Raw genomic sequence first — 15,912 nt, forward strand, 5'->3', positions numbered from 1 at the left:
TGTCCATTTTCTGTTGTTTATAACAGAATATATGAAGCTGGTTAATTTATAAAGAAAAAGAATTTATTCTTGCAGTTCTGGAGGCTGAGACATCTAATGTCAAGGGACTGCATCTGACGATGGCCTTCTTGCTGATGGGAACTCTGCAGAGGTCCAAGGCTGCACAGGGCATTGCATGCTGGTGGGCTGAGTGTGCCAGCTCAGGTCTCTCTTTCTCTTCTTGTAAAGCCACCAGTTCTACTGCCATGATAACCCATTAACCCATTAATCCATGATTGGATTAACCCATTCACAAGGGCAGAGCTGTCATGACCCAGTCCTCTCTTAAAGGCCCCACTTCTCAAAACTGTCACATGGGGGATTACATTTCAACATGAGTTTTGGAAGGGACACACATTCAAACCATAACACTGACATTGAGATTTAAGTTCTTTGCAAGTTTAAATTATTACAGACAGTGATTCCATGAACATCACATCTTTTTATGTGGGTATGTATTTAGTGCGTATAAAATATGTGCCAAATTGTTCTCTTAAGTGGGTGTAACAATTTCAAAGAAGAGTTTCTCTTCCTTTACAGCCTCTTGGTATTTTTCAGATTTAATTTCTTTTGAAATAGGATATGTGTGAAATTGTATCTCATTCTTGCTTAAATTTCCACTTCCTTGACATTGACCATGTTACGTTTATTGGCCATTCACATTTCTTTTTTGTGAAGTGCCAGCTTATATTTTTTGCCTTTTTTCTTTTGGATTTTTGGGTATATTTTTATTGATTAATAGGAACTTTTGGCTGGGGGTGGTGGCTCCTGCCTGTAATCCTAGCATTTTAGGAGTCTGAGGTGGGAGAATTGCTTGAGCCCAGGAGTTCGAGACCAGCCTGGGCAACAGAGACACTCTCTCTATGAAAAAAAAAAAAAAGTATATATATTAGCCAGGCGTAGTGGCATATACCTGTGATCCTGGCTACTAGGGAGGCTGAGGTGAGAGGATTGCTTTTGCCTGGGAGGTCAAGGCTGCATTGTCCTATGATCACAGCCCGGGCTACAGAGCAAGACCCTGTCTCAAAAAAAAAAAAAAAAAAAAAAAAAAAAGAGTGGTTTTTTTTTAAAAAATATATTTAGTAACTAACCCTTGGTTATGTATATTCCTTTTGCAAACATCTTTTTCTTCTTTGTAGAGACAGAGAGGCAATTTACATTATGTATGATGAACAGTTTAAAATTTTTTTTTTTTTTGGACACGGAGTCTCGCTCTGTCATCTAGGCTGGAGTGCAGTGGTGTGATCTTGGCTCACTGCAACCTCCGCCTCCCGGGTTCAAGCGATTCTCCTGCCTCAGCCTCCCGAGTAGCTGGGATTACAGGTGCCTGCCACCATGCCCAGCTAATTTTTTATTTTTTTTTATTTTTAGTAGAGACGGGGTTTCACCATGTTGGCCAGGCTGGTCTTGAACTCCTGACCTCAGGTGATCCACCCGCCTTGGCCTCCCAAAGTGCTGGGATTACAGGCGTGAACCACCGCACTTGGCCTAGTTTTAAATTTTAATGTAGTTGAATTTATCAGTATATTTTTTTATAGTTGTGATTGTTTTGTCTTAGATAACCCAAAGTCATAAAGATAATGCGTATATAGCATGAGATGGGATCTAATTTTGTTTTTCCAAATAGATAGCCAAGTGTCCCTGTACTAGTTATTCAATTGTCTGTTCTTTTACCGCATATTGATTTATAGTGTCATTTCCATCATACATCAAGTTCTTTTATATCTAAGATTTTGTTCTTGGGTACTCTGTTCTGTTTCACTTACATGTTTGTTTCTGCATCAGTACTAAATTGCTTTATTCATTATACCTTTAGAATAAGTCTTGATATCTGGTAGAGAACTTTCCTCTGTCTTTATTCTTAATATTTTTTAGGGGTGAGGGAGGGGTTATTCTTGGCTTTTTACTTCCCTATGTGAGTTTCAGGAATGGCTTATTGTATTCCATCAAGAGACCTTCCTGTAATTTTGATTAAAATTGGATTGCATTTATAGATCATTTTGACATAAAGTTGACATCCTTATAATGCTTATCTCTTCTATTTTCCATCTTTTTATATTTTTACTCTTATTTTCTGAGAGATTTTCTCAATTTTATATTGCAGCCTTTCTATTACATTTTATTTCATCTTTTGGGTTTTTAATTTCTAAGCTCATTCTTGTTATTTGATGATACCTTTCTTAGTATATTCTCCTTGTTTCATGTTTGTAATGTCTTAATTTAACTCTTTGAGGATATAAGTCATACTTATTTTGAAGGTGTTTCTCCCCCCACCCCTCCCTTGATGGTCTTGTCTTCTTTTCTTTTCTTTCTTCTTGTTTTTGAGACTGGATCTTGCTCTGCTGCAAAGGCTGGAAATGCAGTGGCTCGATCATGGCTCACTGCAGCTTAAACCTCCTGGGCTCGGCTGGGCGCGATGGCTCATGCCTGTAATCCCAGCACTTTGGGAGGCCAAGGCGGGTGGATCACCTGAGATCAGGAGTTCAAGACCAGCCTGGCCAACATGGTGAAACCCCATCTCAACTAAAAAAAAAAAAAAAAAAAAAAAAAAAAAAAAAAAAACTGGGCGTGGTGGTGGGTGCCTGTAATTCCAGCTACTTCGGGAGGCTGAGGCAGGAGAATCACTTGAACCTGGGAGGCGGAGGTTGCAGTGAACCGAGCTGGTGCCATTACACTCCAGCCTGGGTGACAAGAGTGAAACTCTGTCTAAAAAAAAAAACAAAAACCTCCTGGTCCCAAGCCATCTTCCCACCTCAGCCTCTCGAATACCTGGGACTACAGGTGTGCACGACCATACCTGGCTAATTTTTTCTGTTCTTTGTAGACACAGGGTCTCACTGTGTTGCCCAGTCTGGTCTTGAACTCCTGGACTCAAGTGGTCATCCCGCCTTGGCCTCCCAAAATCCTGGGATTACAGGTGTGAACCACTGTGCCCGGCCTGGTCTTTATTTTCTCTGAGTGTTTGGCTTCATTTTGTAGTAGCCTCTGAGTTTCACATGAGAAGTGATATATTTTGGATGTGTGTCTCTGCCCAAATCTCATATTGAAATGTAATCACCAGTGTTGGAAATAGGGCCTGGTGGGAGGAGATCATGGGGGCAGATTTCTCATGAATGGTTTAGCACCATTCCTCTTGGTACTATCCTCATAGTAGTGAATGAGCTCCACGAGATCTGGTCATTTAAAAGTGTGTAGCGCCTCCTTCCTCCTGCTCCTGATCTGGCCATGTGACGTGCCTGCTCCCCCTTCACCTTCTACCATGATTGTAAATTTCCTGAGGCCTCCCCAGAAGCCAAGTGATGCCAGCATCATGCTTCCTGTACAGCCTGCAGAACTGTTAGCCTATTAAACCTCTTTTCTTTATAAATTACCCATTCTCACATATTTCTTTATAGCCATGCAGGAACAGCCTAATACAAGAACCTTTCCGCAAATGTCCGGTGATTCTAGACTGTGTGTTTATATTTAAGAATGAGGCACTAAAAAGATGAGAAGAAGCTCTTTGGATGTGGAGCCCTTGCATTGAATTAGGGAACCTTACGATGTCTTTTTTCTTGGCCTGGTAGTTTCCCTAGAAAGAAATCTTTCCGTCTCCTCCTTATATTGCTATGAGTGTAGGAGTCAGTGCTCAGGGCGCTGTGAGGTCTAACTGCCCACTATGCAGATGTTGCTTAATCTCCTTATTTTTAATAAGGTGTCTTACCCCAACCCCCAGTTGTGTTTGCTTTTCATATCGTCAGAACCTCTTTTGATCAACCTCTAGTTTGTAAACTCCTTCCTTTTACCAGGATATGGAGGGGGATTTTTCAGGGAGGGAGCTGGCAGAGGCAACCCGAGAGTGTAAAGTACTGGTTATAGAGGCTTCCAACAATGCTCCTGTATTCATTTTTACTATATAGCTTGGCTTCAAGGTTAGCTGTTTTGCTAGGGTCTGGATGTTTGTGTCCCTCCTAAATTTGTATGTTGAAACCTAATTGCCATTGTGATGGTATTAGGAGGTGGGGTCTTCAGGAGATTATTAGGTCTTGATGGTGGAAACCTTAAGTAGAATTGGTGCCTTTATAAGGGACTGAAGAACCAGAGTTCTTGCCTTCCACCATGTTAGGACACAGATAGAAAGCATCCTCTATAAACTAGAAAGTAGGCTCTTGCCAGACATTGAATCTGCCAACACCTTGATCTTGTATTTCCCATCTTCCAGAACTGTGAGAAATACATTTCTGTTTTTTATAAACTGCCTAGTTTATGGTATATCTTGTTATGGCAGGCTGGATGGACTAAGACATTGTGCCTCCAAATTCTGAGCTTTTGTGGCTGTAAATCAGCTTGCTACTAGGCTTCTCTTTTTTTCCGCATTTAGAAAAGATGAAAAAGCTGAAACCTAAGTCATTATCACTTGTCAGTTTGCTTTCTGTCTTCCAAATTTGCTCCTGACATCTTTTGTTGGCTATCATTTTCTCCACCATTCATTGTTTCTGCCATTTGTTTTTATTTTTTACTTTCATTTAAGTGGTGTTTTAGGAGAGATGATTAGCTATGTTTAATCATATCTGTTTAGTGGTCCCCTCTTGGTGTTCTTTTTAACTTATGATCTTCTGATAGAACTGCAGTCTCACTTTTCATCTCATATTTGAATTCTGGTTTTACCAAATGTTTTTAGTATTAAAAGTATTTTGTAGTGTGAAACTGTTGTGTTGAGTGTGCCCCTGTTCTTGAGTTTTGACTATTTTCTTGGTTGGGCACATTGCCTTTTGTGTGCTTTGTTCATTTCTACCTTTGTTATTTTTTCTTTTTCTTACTTTTGAATAGTTTGCATATTTGCATAGTTTCCATGCCATTCTTTGCAATTTCCTGATACTTTGGTGGCTTTATTTTGATCTTCTATTTATAAAAAGAGTTGGAGTTCTTACCTGTCTTACTAGTTTGTTTTTCCCACTGAACATCTGTTTGAGGACTGAACTTCTGTATTTCTTAACACTTTTCTGCAGGTTTATGTAATGGTGACAGGATGGTAGATACTCAACTGATGTAGTGGGTGGTCCTAGGCTCTGTCGCCTATTTGAGATTTATTAAATGCCATAGACTGTTTTGTTGGGGGTTCTATATACAAATTTTTGTGTTGACATAGATTTTCTGTTCTCTTGGGTATATACTCAGTATTAGAATTTCTGGGTCAAATAGTAACTTTATGGTTAGCTTTTTGAGGAACTGACGGACTGTTTTCTAATGCTGCTGAATGACAGTATGAGTAATGTTTGAGAGTTCCAGTTTCTCTACGTCTTTGCCATCACCTGTCATCATCAGTCTTTTTGATGATAACCATCTTAGTGGCATGAAATAGAAGTCCTCATTTAACATCATTCATAGGTTCTTGGGAATTGTGACTTTAAGTGAATGACGTAGAATGAAACCAGTTTTAGCATAGGTTAATTGATATAAATGAGTTAAGTTCTTGGAGCATATTTCTGGTAAAAAAAATCACTAAACTTCTAAATAAAGACTCAAAACACTCATATTAAACATTGAAATAAATGTTATCTATACATACATTTAAGAAAGCTTAATAAAAACAAATGGTTTTGATTTGCATTTTTCTTTTTTTCTTTTCTTTTTTTTTTTTTTCAGATGGAGTCTCGCTCTGTCGCCAGGCTGGAGTGCAGTGACACGGTCTTGGCTAACTGCAGCCTCCGCCTTCTGGGTTCAAGCGGTTCTCCTGCCTCAGCCTCCCAAGTAGCTGGGATTACAGGCATGCGCCACCATGCCCGGCTAATTTTTTTGTATTTTTAGTAGAGACAGGGTTTCACCATGTTGGCCAGGCTGGTCTTGAACTCCTGACCTTGTGATCTGCCCGCCTCGGCCTCCCAAAGTGCGGGGATTACAGGCGTGAACCACCGTGCCTGGACCTTGATTTGCATTTTTCTAATGACTAATGATGTTGAATACCTTTTTATATTGTTGATTGTGACTTTTCTGTCTAAATCTATAAAGTGTGTATTCTTTGTCATGTGTGGCCAATGAAATCTCTACTTGGTTTGTAGATGGTCAGCTAATGAATGGACAGAAGATTTTCTTAAATGCCGTGAACAAATAAGTCTTCTAGCCTTTGCTGAGTGGTTCTTTCTTTATGTTGGAGTATGCATTCAATGCTTTTGTGGGCTGATCAAAACTCTGCCTTAGCCTTTGCTTCCTACTTGCACAGAGCCTTAAGGTCAGCCAGAGATGAGAGACTGAGGCCTTCTCAGGGACTAGGCTTATATATAGACTTGCACTTGCATGGTTTTCTGATGCCAGGAATATGTCAGAGCTTTTCAAAGGCTATATATGTGCCTGGTTCTCTGTGGCTGGGGCTTTTGGGGAGCTCCAACTCTGTTCTTCTCTCCTTCCCCACAGTGCTGGCTAGGCTGCTGGATTCCATAAGCTACTACTATTCTGAGGCAATTGATTTTTGAAGCAATCAGGAGCTGGTGGGGTGGGGATGAGAATAGTACAAGTTAAAATGCCACATATCTCACTATTCTTATTGAGATTCAATTGATTTCCCTGAATAAATGCTTTTTGGATTACTGCAAGTTTTTGGTTAATTTAAAGAGTTAACGAGAAATTAGATTCAGATAATTTTTGCCAGCATTCTTGTTGCTTTTACGAAGGAAAGGATTTTTGGTGCTACCCCATTCTGGAGCTGCTTATGTTCTTTGAGGATATTTTGAAGTTTTCTTGTTTTTAAATACCCATTTCTCTTAGGTTGCCCCTCCCCCTTTAACATTATTTGATTTAGATTTTATCTTCATGTTGGATAATTTTTAAAAATATCATGTTTTCTCATTTTAAGAGTGAAGGACTAAAAAGTTTCCTAGAAACTTTGAGTGTCTGGGTGAGGCTTTTCAGCCATGATCTTTACTATAGGATTGTTTGGCTAGATATAATCCTTCCCCCTTCCCCATCTAACTTAAGAAGTAGAAAATAGAAAAGCTGAATACTATGGATCATTAAATAGATTGAGTCAATGTCAAAATTGCTGGCCCATATTGTTTTACCAATGAATAAAAAGAAACATTAAAGGAGCTAATAATTCCAGTTTTATGTAAACTCCTCTACAGAATGGAAACATCTTGATAGCATAATCTTGATACCAAACTGACAAGGATAGAAGAAAAGATAATTATAGCTAATCTCAGTTATGAATATATATGCAAAAATATTATACAAAATATTAGCTAACCAAATGTAGCAAGATTTTAAAAAGATAAAATATAAAAGACTTTATACAATTAATGTCAGGCGGGTTTAACATTAGAAAATCAATCAATATAATTCTAACTCAATGTAGTCAGTTAATTAATGTAATATAACTTTTCTTCATATAGAATTTCTAAGTATCTCTACTCTTGAGTAGAATTCCTAAACATCTCTACTATTTTAGGAAAACATCTTTTTCCGTGAAAACATGTTTGTGTGTTTGTATGTGTCTATATCTGTGTGTGTATTTATATTCATATCCAAGAATACAATAGAAATTATCATATAATATTAAGTGACTACCAGACCTCTGCATTGAAAATGTGATTGTTAGGTCAGAATTTTATCTAAATCTTGAAATACTCTTAAATAAAAGCCATTTGGCAAGTAATATTAAATATAGATCAACTATCATAGCAGTAATATAGTAATATATCACCAAAATAAACATCATAAGCTCTAACTGATTGGCCTTTGATTTTCCAGGTTCTTTTTTTTAAAAAAGGATTAAATTTAAACTTGGTGGAATAGTGGGCATACTCTTTGTTTATTGCAATGGGATTTAAGTGATTATGTGTTGTGTTTCTACATGATTTGTCAGTAAAATGGGAATCACGTGTGATTTTTTTTTTTTTTTTCTTCAGACAGGGTCTCACTCTGTCACCCAGGCTGGAGTGCAGTGGCATGATCTCAGCTTGCTGCAGCCTCTGCCTCCTAGGCACAAGTGATCCTCCCACCTCAGCCCTCCAAGTACTGGGACCACAGGCATGCGCCACAACGCCAGCTAATTTTTGTTTATTTATTTATTATTTTGAGATGGAGTCTCGCTCTGTCGCCCAGGCTGGAGTGCAGTTGTGTGATCTTGGCTCACTGTAACCTCCACCTCCTGGGTTCAAGCGATTCTCTTGCCTCAGCCTCCCGAATAGCTGGGATTACAGGTGTGTGCCACCACACCTGGCTAATTTTTTGTACTTTTAGTAGAGACAAGTTTCCACCATGTTGGCCAGGTTGGTCTCGAACTCCTGATCTCAAGTGATCTGCCCCCTTTGGCCTCCCAAAGTGCTGGGATTACAGGTGTGAGCCACCACGCCCAGCCATTTCTGTTTATTTTTTAGGGATGATGTTTTGCCATGTTGCCCAGTGTGGTCTTGAACTCTTGAGTTCAAGGGATCTACCCACCTTGGCCTCAAAGTGCTGGGATTACAGGAGTGAGCCACTATGCCTGGCCTATGATTTTCTTTTATAAATAAATCTCATGAGACTTCCTAAATAATTTATTTTACTATTTTATTTATTTTACTATATAAAATACTATATAAAATAGTTTCGATCAACTAGGATATAAGCATCTTTTTGTTATAGACTCCATTTTGTTATTATTTCAAATTATTTGGTTTATGGTTAACCATGTAAATTGCTATTTATTTACTTTAAAGTAGACAAGTATGTAAGTCAATGACTGAAAGTTGGAGATTATGTATTTGTAATTTAAGAAGGCATATAATTTAACAGTGACTGAATTAATACTGGGGCTATTGAGTGATTGAAGGAGGAGGACCTATCATATAGAATAATAGTCTTTTATACTTAGGTAGTATAGTGCATAATGTTCTTAAAAGTGCTTTCATATATGAAAGTACTCTTATGAAAAAATGAGATTACATAAGGTTGTTCATAATACTATTTGTATTTGGCCATTCTCACATTGCTATGAAGAAATACTTGAGACTGGGTAATTTATAAAGGAAAGAGATTTAATTAATTGGCTCATCATTCTGTATGCTTTACAGGAAGCATGGTGCTAACATCTGCTCGGCTTCTGGGGAGGCCTCAGGAAGCTTACAATAATGGTGGAAGGCAAAGGGGGAGCAGGCATGTCACATGGAATTTATGTTCCTCTCTATACTGGTTATTCTAGTTAGCAGTTCCTGTAATAACCTTTTATCAACGTTCTTAGCTTCTTTGCATTGTGTTAGAACATGCTCCTTTAGCTCAGAGGAGTTTGTTCCACCTTCTGAAGCCTACTTCTGCCAATTGCTCAATCTCATTCTCTGTTCAGTTTTGTGCCCTTGCTGGAGAGGTGTTGCGATCATTCGGAGGAGAAAAGTTATTCTGGCTTTTGGAATTTTCAGCATTTTTGTGCTGACTTTTCCTTATCTTTGTGGATTTATCTACCTTTGATCTTTGAGGCTGATGACCTTTGGATGGGCTTTTTGTGGGAGGGTTTTTTTTTTTTTTTGAGATGGAGTCTTGCGCTGTCACCCAGGCTGGAATGCAGTGGCGTGATCTCGGCTCACTGCAAGCTCCGCCTCCTGGGTTCATGCCATTCTCCTGCCTCAGCCTCCCAAGTAGCTGGGACTACAGGTGCACGCCACCACACCCGGCTAATTTTTTGTATTTTTAGTAGAGACGGGGTTTCACCATGTTAGCCAGGATAGTCTTGATGTCCTGACCTCCTGATCCACCCGCCTCGGCCTCCAAAAGTGCTGGGATTACAGGCGTGAGCCACCACGCCCGGCCTGTGGGGGGGGTTCTTGATGTTGATGTTGATGTTGTTCCTTTCTGTTTGTTAGTTTTTCTTCTAACAGGCCCCTCTTCTGATGGTCTGCTGCAGTTTGCTGGACTTCTGCAGGTCTGCTGCAGTTTGTAGGCCCTGTTTGCCTGGGTATCACTAGTGGAGGCTGGAGAACAGCAAAGATTGCTGCCTGCTCCTTCCTCCGGAAGCTTTGTCCCAGAGGGGCAGCAGCCTGATGCCAGCTGGAGCTCTCTTATATGAGGTGTCTGTCGATCCCTATTGGGAGGTCTCTCCCAGTCAGGAGGCAGGGGGGTCAGGGACCCACTTGAGGAGGCAGTCTGTCCTTAGGAGTGCGGGTGCGCTGTGCTGGGAGAATCCCCCTTGTCAGGATCAGCCGCTGTCTTCAGAGCTGACAGGTAGGAAAGATTTAAGTCCACTGAAGCTGCGACTGCAGCCGCCCCTTCCCCCAGGTGCTCTGTCCTACCAGGATGAGAGTTTTATCTGTAAGCTCCTGACTGAACTGCTGCATATCCTGCAGAGATGCCCTGCCCAGTGAGGAGGAATCCAGAGAAGCAGTCTGGCCACAGCCACTTTGCTTTGCTGTGGTGACTGTGCCCAGTCCAAACCTCCCAGTCTCCTTAGCACTATCAGGAGAAAACCACCTACGAAAGCCTCAGTAATGGCGGTCGCTGCTTCCCCCACCAAGCTCGATCATCCCAGGTCGACTCCAGACTGCTGTGCTGGCAGTGAGAATTTCAAGCCAGTGGTTCTTAGCTTGCTAGGCTCCGTGGGAGTGGGACCTGCTGAGCTAGACTTCTTGGGTTCCTGGCTTCAGCTCCCTTTCCAGAGGAGTGGACGGTTGTCCTTTCTCACTGGAGTTCCAGGTGCCACTGGCATACGAAAAAACTCCTGCAGCTTGGTGTCTGCCCAAACAGCCGCCCAGTTTTGTGCTTGAAACACAGGGCCCTGGTGGCATAGGGTCACGAGGGAATCTCCTGATCTGCGGATTGCAAAAATCCATGGGAAAAGCGTAGTACTCAGGGCGGGTAGCACAGTCCCTCCCCACTTCCCCTGGCTGGCTGGGGGAGGGAGTTGCCCTAGCTCCTTGCACTTCCAGGGTGAAGTGACGCCCCACCCTGCTTCTGCTTGCTCTCCGTGGGTTGCACCCAGTGCCTAACCAGTCCCAGTGAGATGAACTGTGTACCTCAGTTGGAAATGCAGAAATCACCCACCTTCTGCGTTGGTCTCGCTGGGAGCTGCAGACTGCCGCTGTTTCTATTTGGCCATCGTGGCCCCTCCCCGCCCTGTCCAGTGGTCTTTACGTTACTGCTATTGTAATTGTTTTGGGGCACCATGAACCATGCCTGCATAAGGTGATGTACTTAATTTATAAATATATGTGTTCTCACTACTCCTCTGTCCAGCCGTTCTTCCAACTCTCCCTCTCGTCTGGCCTTCCTACTCCTTGAGACACAACAATGTTGAAATGAGGCCAGTTAACTCTACAGTGTCCTCTAAGTGTTCAAGTGAAAGGAAGGCTCACACCTGTTTCATTTTAAATCAAAAGCTAGAAATGATTAAGCTTAGTGAGGAAGGAATGTTGAAAACCAGTACAGGCCAAACGCTATGTCTTTAGTGCCGAACAGCCAAGTTGTGAATGCAAAGGAAAAGTTCTTGAAGGAAATTAAAAGTGCTACTTTAGTGAACACATAAGTGATAAGAGAGCCAGCCATTCTTATTGCTGACATGGAGAAAGTTGTAGTGGTCTGGATAGATCAAACCAGCCACAGCATTCCCTTAAGTCAAAGCCTAATTTAGAACAAGACCCTAACTCTCTTCAATTTGATGAAGGCTGAGAGAGGTGAGGAATTTGGAGAAGAAAAGTTGGAGGCTAGGAGAGATTGGTTCATGACTTTTAGGGAAATAAGACTTCTACATAATATAAAAATGCAAGGTGAAACAAGTGCTTATGTAGAAGCTGCAGCAAGTAATCCCAAAGATCTAGCTAAAATAATCGATGAAGGTGGCCACACTAAACAACAGATTTTCATTGCAGACAAAACAATCTTCTACTGGAAGGTGTCATCTAGGTGTTTCAGAGCTAGAGAGGAGAAGTCAGTGCCCAGCTTTAATGCTTCAGAGGACAGGATGACTCTCTGGTTAGGGGCTAATATTGCTGGTGAGTTTAAGTTGAAGCCATTGCTCATTTACCATTCTCCAAATCCTAGGGCCCTTAAGAATTATGCTACATATACTCTGCCTGTGCTCTATAAATGGGACAACAAAGCCCAGATGACAGCTCATCTCTTTACAGAATATTTAACTGAATATTTAAGCCCACGGTACCTGCTGCTCAGAAAAAAAAGATTCTTCTCAAAATATTGTTTGTTAACAATGCACTTGGTTACTGAAGAGCGCTGATGGTTATGTACCAGCAAGTTAATGTTGTTTTCATCCTTGCTAACACAACATCCATTCTGCAGCACATGCATCAATGAAGAATTTTGACTTTCAAGTCTTATTACTTAAGAAATACATTTCATAAGGCTATAGCTGACATAGATAGTGACTCCTTTGATGGATCTAGGCAAATTAAATTGAAAACTTTCTGGAAAGGATTTGCCATTCTAGATGCCCTTAAGACCATTTGTGATTCATGTGAGGAGGTCCAAATGTCATCATTAACAGGAGTTTGGAGGAAGTTGGTTCCAGTCCTTATGGATAACTTTGGGGGTGGGGGCAGGTTTAGACTTCAGTGGAATAAGTTACTGTAGGTTAGAAATAGCAAGATAATTAGAATTAGAAGTGGAGCCTGAAGATGTGACTGAATTGCTGCAATCTCATGCATTCATAAAACTTGAATGGGTGAGGAGTTGCTTCTTATAGATGACCAAAGAAAATAGTTTCTTGAGATGGAAACTCCTCCTGGTGGAGATGCTGTGAACATTACTGAAATGACAGCAAAAGATTTAGAATATTACATAAACTTAGTTGCTAAAGTAGCCATAGGGTTTCAGTTTTGAAAGAGGTTCTACTGCTAGTAAAATGCTATCAAGCAGCATTGCATGCTACAGAGAAACCTTTTTGAAGAAAGAGTCAACCAATGTAGCAAACTTCTTTGTTGCCTTATTTTAAGAAACTGGCACTGACTGCCCAGCCTTCAGCTGCTACCACCCTCATCAGTCAGCAGTCATCAACAAACATTGAGTTAGGACCTTCCACCATTAAAGATGATGACTTCCTGAAGGGCCAGATGATGGTTAGCATTTTTTTTTTTAGCAGTAAAGTATTTTAATTTTATTTATTTATTTTTGAGACAGAGTCCTGCTCTCTCGCCCAGGCTGGAGTGCAGTGGCGTGATCTCGACTCACTGCAATCTCTGCTTCCTGGGTTCAAGCGATTCTCCTGCCTCAGCCTCCCATAGTAGCTGGGATTATAGATGTGCGCCACCACATCTGGCTATGTTTTGTATTTTTAGTAGAGATGGGGTTTTGCCATGTTGGCCAGGCTTGTCTCAGATTCCTGGGCTCAAGTGATCCATCTGCCTTGGCCTCCCAAAGTACTGGGATTACAGGCGTGAGCCACTGTGCCTGACCTCAATAAAGTATTTTTAAATTAAAATAAATATGTTTTTATATATAATGCTATTGCACACTTAATAGATTACACTATAGTGCAAACATTACTTTCATTTGCAATTTTTTGGAAACCAAAAATTGATGTGACTCACTTTATTGCAATATATGCTTTATGGCAGTGGTCTGGAACTGAACCAGCCATATCTCTAAGGTATGCCTTTGTTAAGAAGTCTGTTACCTGAAGGAAGTAATTATTAAGAGTTCATATATAGCCTGCTATAGAATAGTAATCTTATGAATAAGGGGATTCATAAGAATAAGAATAAGGAATTGGAATCTCAGACCAGTCAGAATGGCTATTATTAAAAAGTCAAAAAATAACAGATGCTGGCGAGGTTGTGGAGAAAAGGGAACACTTATGCATTATTGGCAGGAATGTAAGTTCATTCAACCATTGTGGAAAACAATGTGGCGATTCCTCAAAGAACTAAAAACAGAACTACCTTTTGATCCAGCAATCCCATTTCTGGGTATATACTCAAAGGAATAGAAATTGTTCTACCACAAAGACACGTGGCATGCATATGTTCATTGCAGCACTATTCACAATAGCAAAGACATGGAGTCAACCTAAATGCTTATCAGTGTTAGACTAGATAAAGAAAATGTGATATATATACATCATTAAATACTATGCAGCCATAAAAAAGAATGAGGTAATATCCTTTGCAGGAACATGGATGGAGCTGGAGGCCATTATCTTTAGCAAACTAACACAGGAACAGAAAACCAAATACCACATGTTCTCACTTCCAAGTGGGAACTAAACAATGAGAACACATGGACACAAAGAGGGGAACAACATACACTGGGTTCTGCCTGAGGGTGGAGAGTGGGAGAAGGAAGAGGATCAGAAAAAATAACTTTTGGGTTCTAGGCTTAGTACCTGGGTGATGAAATAATCTGTACAACACATCCCTGTGACATGAGTTTACCTATATAACAAACCTACACATGTACCCATGAACCTAAAAAGTTAAAAAAATAGAAATAAGAAATTGGAAATATGAAATAAAAGTTGAATTTAAAATGTTTCTTCATCTCTTCACTGTGGACTTAGGATGCTGGGTGTTTTTCAAACTAGAATCTTTGATAGAGAATTATATTTGATGTTTGTAACATACTCAGATTCTAATGGTATCTTTTGAGTGGCTAGGTATTCTTGGAAGCATATATAAATATTCATGTGTGTTTGTCCATGAATAACATTACTGTGGTGAGGGAAATGTGGGAAAGAGGGCTTTGTTAAAGGCCTTAAATGACAACAATGAATCTAGATTAGTTACTGTGGAGAATGCCTTTGATATTTGTGTTAACTTTACTTTTGAACTTTTTCAATAAAATTCAACTCCCATTTCTGTGTTTAGTTGGGAAAGGGGATTGAGAGATTTTAGTATAAGACTACCTGAAGTTATTTCTTTTTCAATAGCTAAGCAAAGATTTGAAAGCTTTTTGAAAATCCAAGAGGAAATGAAACACAGCCATCTAGTGGATGCAATTTTAAAAGCTGTAAGCATGTAATTTAAGTACCGTGAGCTCATGTAAGCATTATAAACATTATTAGGCATTCAAGTTAATCATTTCTTATTATAAAAAGGGCAATATACATTTAAAAATTTTAATGAGAAGGGGAAACATAATATATGATAGTTGAACTACTGCATTATATAAATACCTTCAGAGGTCAGTTAAACTAATGTAACTTTCTCATATGCTATAACATTTTCCGTTGTAATATTAATCAGAGTTTTTGAATTCTAAAACTTCAGTATTGCTTTTTAAACACATGGACATTCTGAAACATTGATGGAAAATATCTAGGCCTCTTTTGCCTATATAAATTAACCTATTATTATAGTTGAAGCACAGATTTAGTTACTCACTGTCTTCTATTGGAGTGACTCTTAGTCATTGATGGCTTATAAACTTTATTGATGCAAAAATGAATTATTTTCCAGGAGCAAGATACTGCTGTGCAAAATATGCATAAGAAAGTAGAAAAATTAGAAACAGAACATATGGACTGCTCTGACCTTTTACGGCGACAAACAAGTGAACTTGAATTTAGCACTCAACGAGAGGAACGCCTTAGAAAAGAATTTGAGGTACATTTTCTCATTCCTTTATAATATATATGCGTACAAACTTTCACATATGCGCGCGCGCGCACACACACACACACACACACACACACACACATAAAACCCATTCCGTGATTTAAGATTGGAGAGTTTTACTCTGTGATAATATATAAAACTAATTTTAGGGGCACTTATTTATAATGTATATTTGGCTTCTTTGAAAATTTTTGTATCTGAGTATTTTCTGTTTTGCCCTAGTTTAAAAAAATCTGTTCACTTTTGAACAATTAACTCTCATGGAATATTTGGGAAGTTTGAGAGTAATTGTTTACATTATTAGGTTGAGAAAGCAACACAGGAAAAGTTTTGGTGTACATAGGTTCTAAATCATAAAAGTAATTTT

General features: G+C 39.7%; 1 protein-coding gene across 35 annotated transcripts in view, besides 1 other annotated feature; it reads left to right on the forward strand.

The window, feature by feature from the left end:
• CCDC171 (coiled-coil domain containing 171) overlaps positions 1 to 15,912 on the forward strand; it is a 556,042-nt gene that overhangs the window by 54,996 nt on the left and 485,134 nt on the right. For 34 of the 35 annotated variants that reach the window (XR_007061261.1, XR_001746227.3, XR_001746228.3 and 31 more), the window contains one exon: positions 15,387 to 15,533. Coding sequence is in view for 30 of the 35 variants with exons in the window: in XM_047422930.1 (XP_047278886.1) it covers positions 15,387 to 15,533 (147 nt within the window). In the remaining 5 variants the exon portion in view is untranslated. Of the gene's footprint in view, positions 1 to 14,857; positions 14,938 to 15,386; positions 15,534 to 15,912 lie in introns of all 35 variants that reach the window. The other variant, XM_017014443.2, reaches the window with a different exon arrangement.
• Positions 10,597 to 11,096: an enhancer, noted in NCBI's record as "H3K4me1 hESC enhancer chr9:15618475-15618974 (GRCh37/hg19 assembly coordinates)". NCBI's record gives its function as "activates a minimal SCP1, AML or CMV promoter by ChIP-STARR-seq in primed H9 embryonic stem cells {active_cell/tissue: H9 hESC(primed)}" and the evidence as "EXISTENCE:reporter gene assay evidence [ECO:0000049][PMID:30033119]".

This window comes from Homo sapiens, chromosome 9 (genome assembly GCF_000001405.40).
Source record: "Homo sapiens chromosome 9, GRCh38.p14 Primary Assembly".
NCBI lineage: Eukaryota > Metazoa > Chordata > Mammalia > Primates > Hominidae > Homo > Homo sapiens.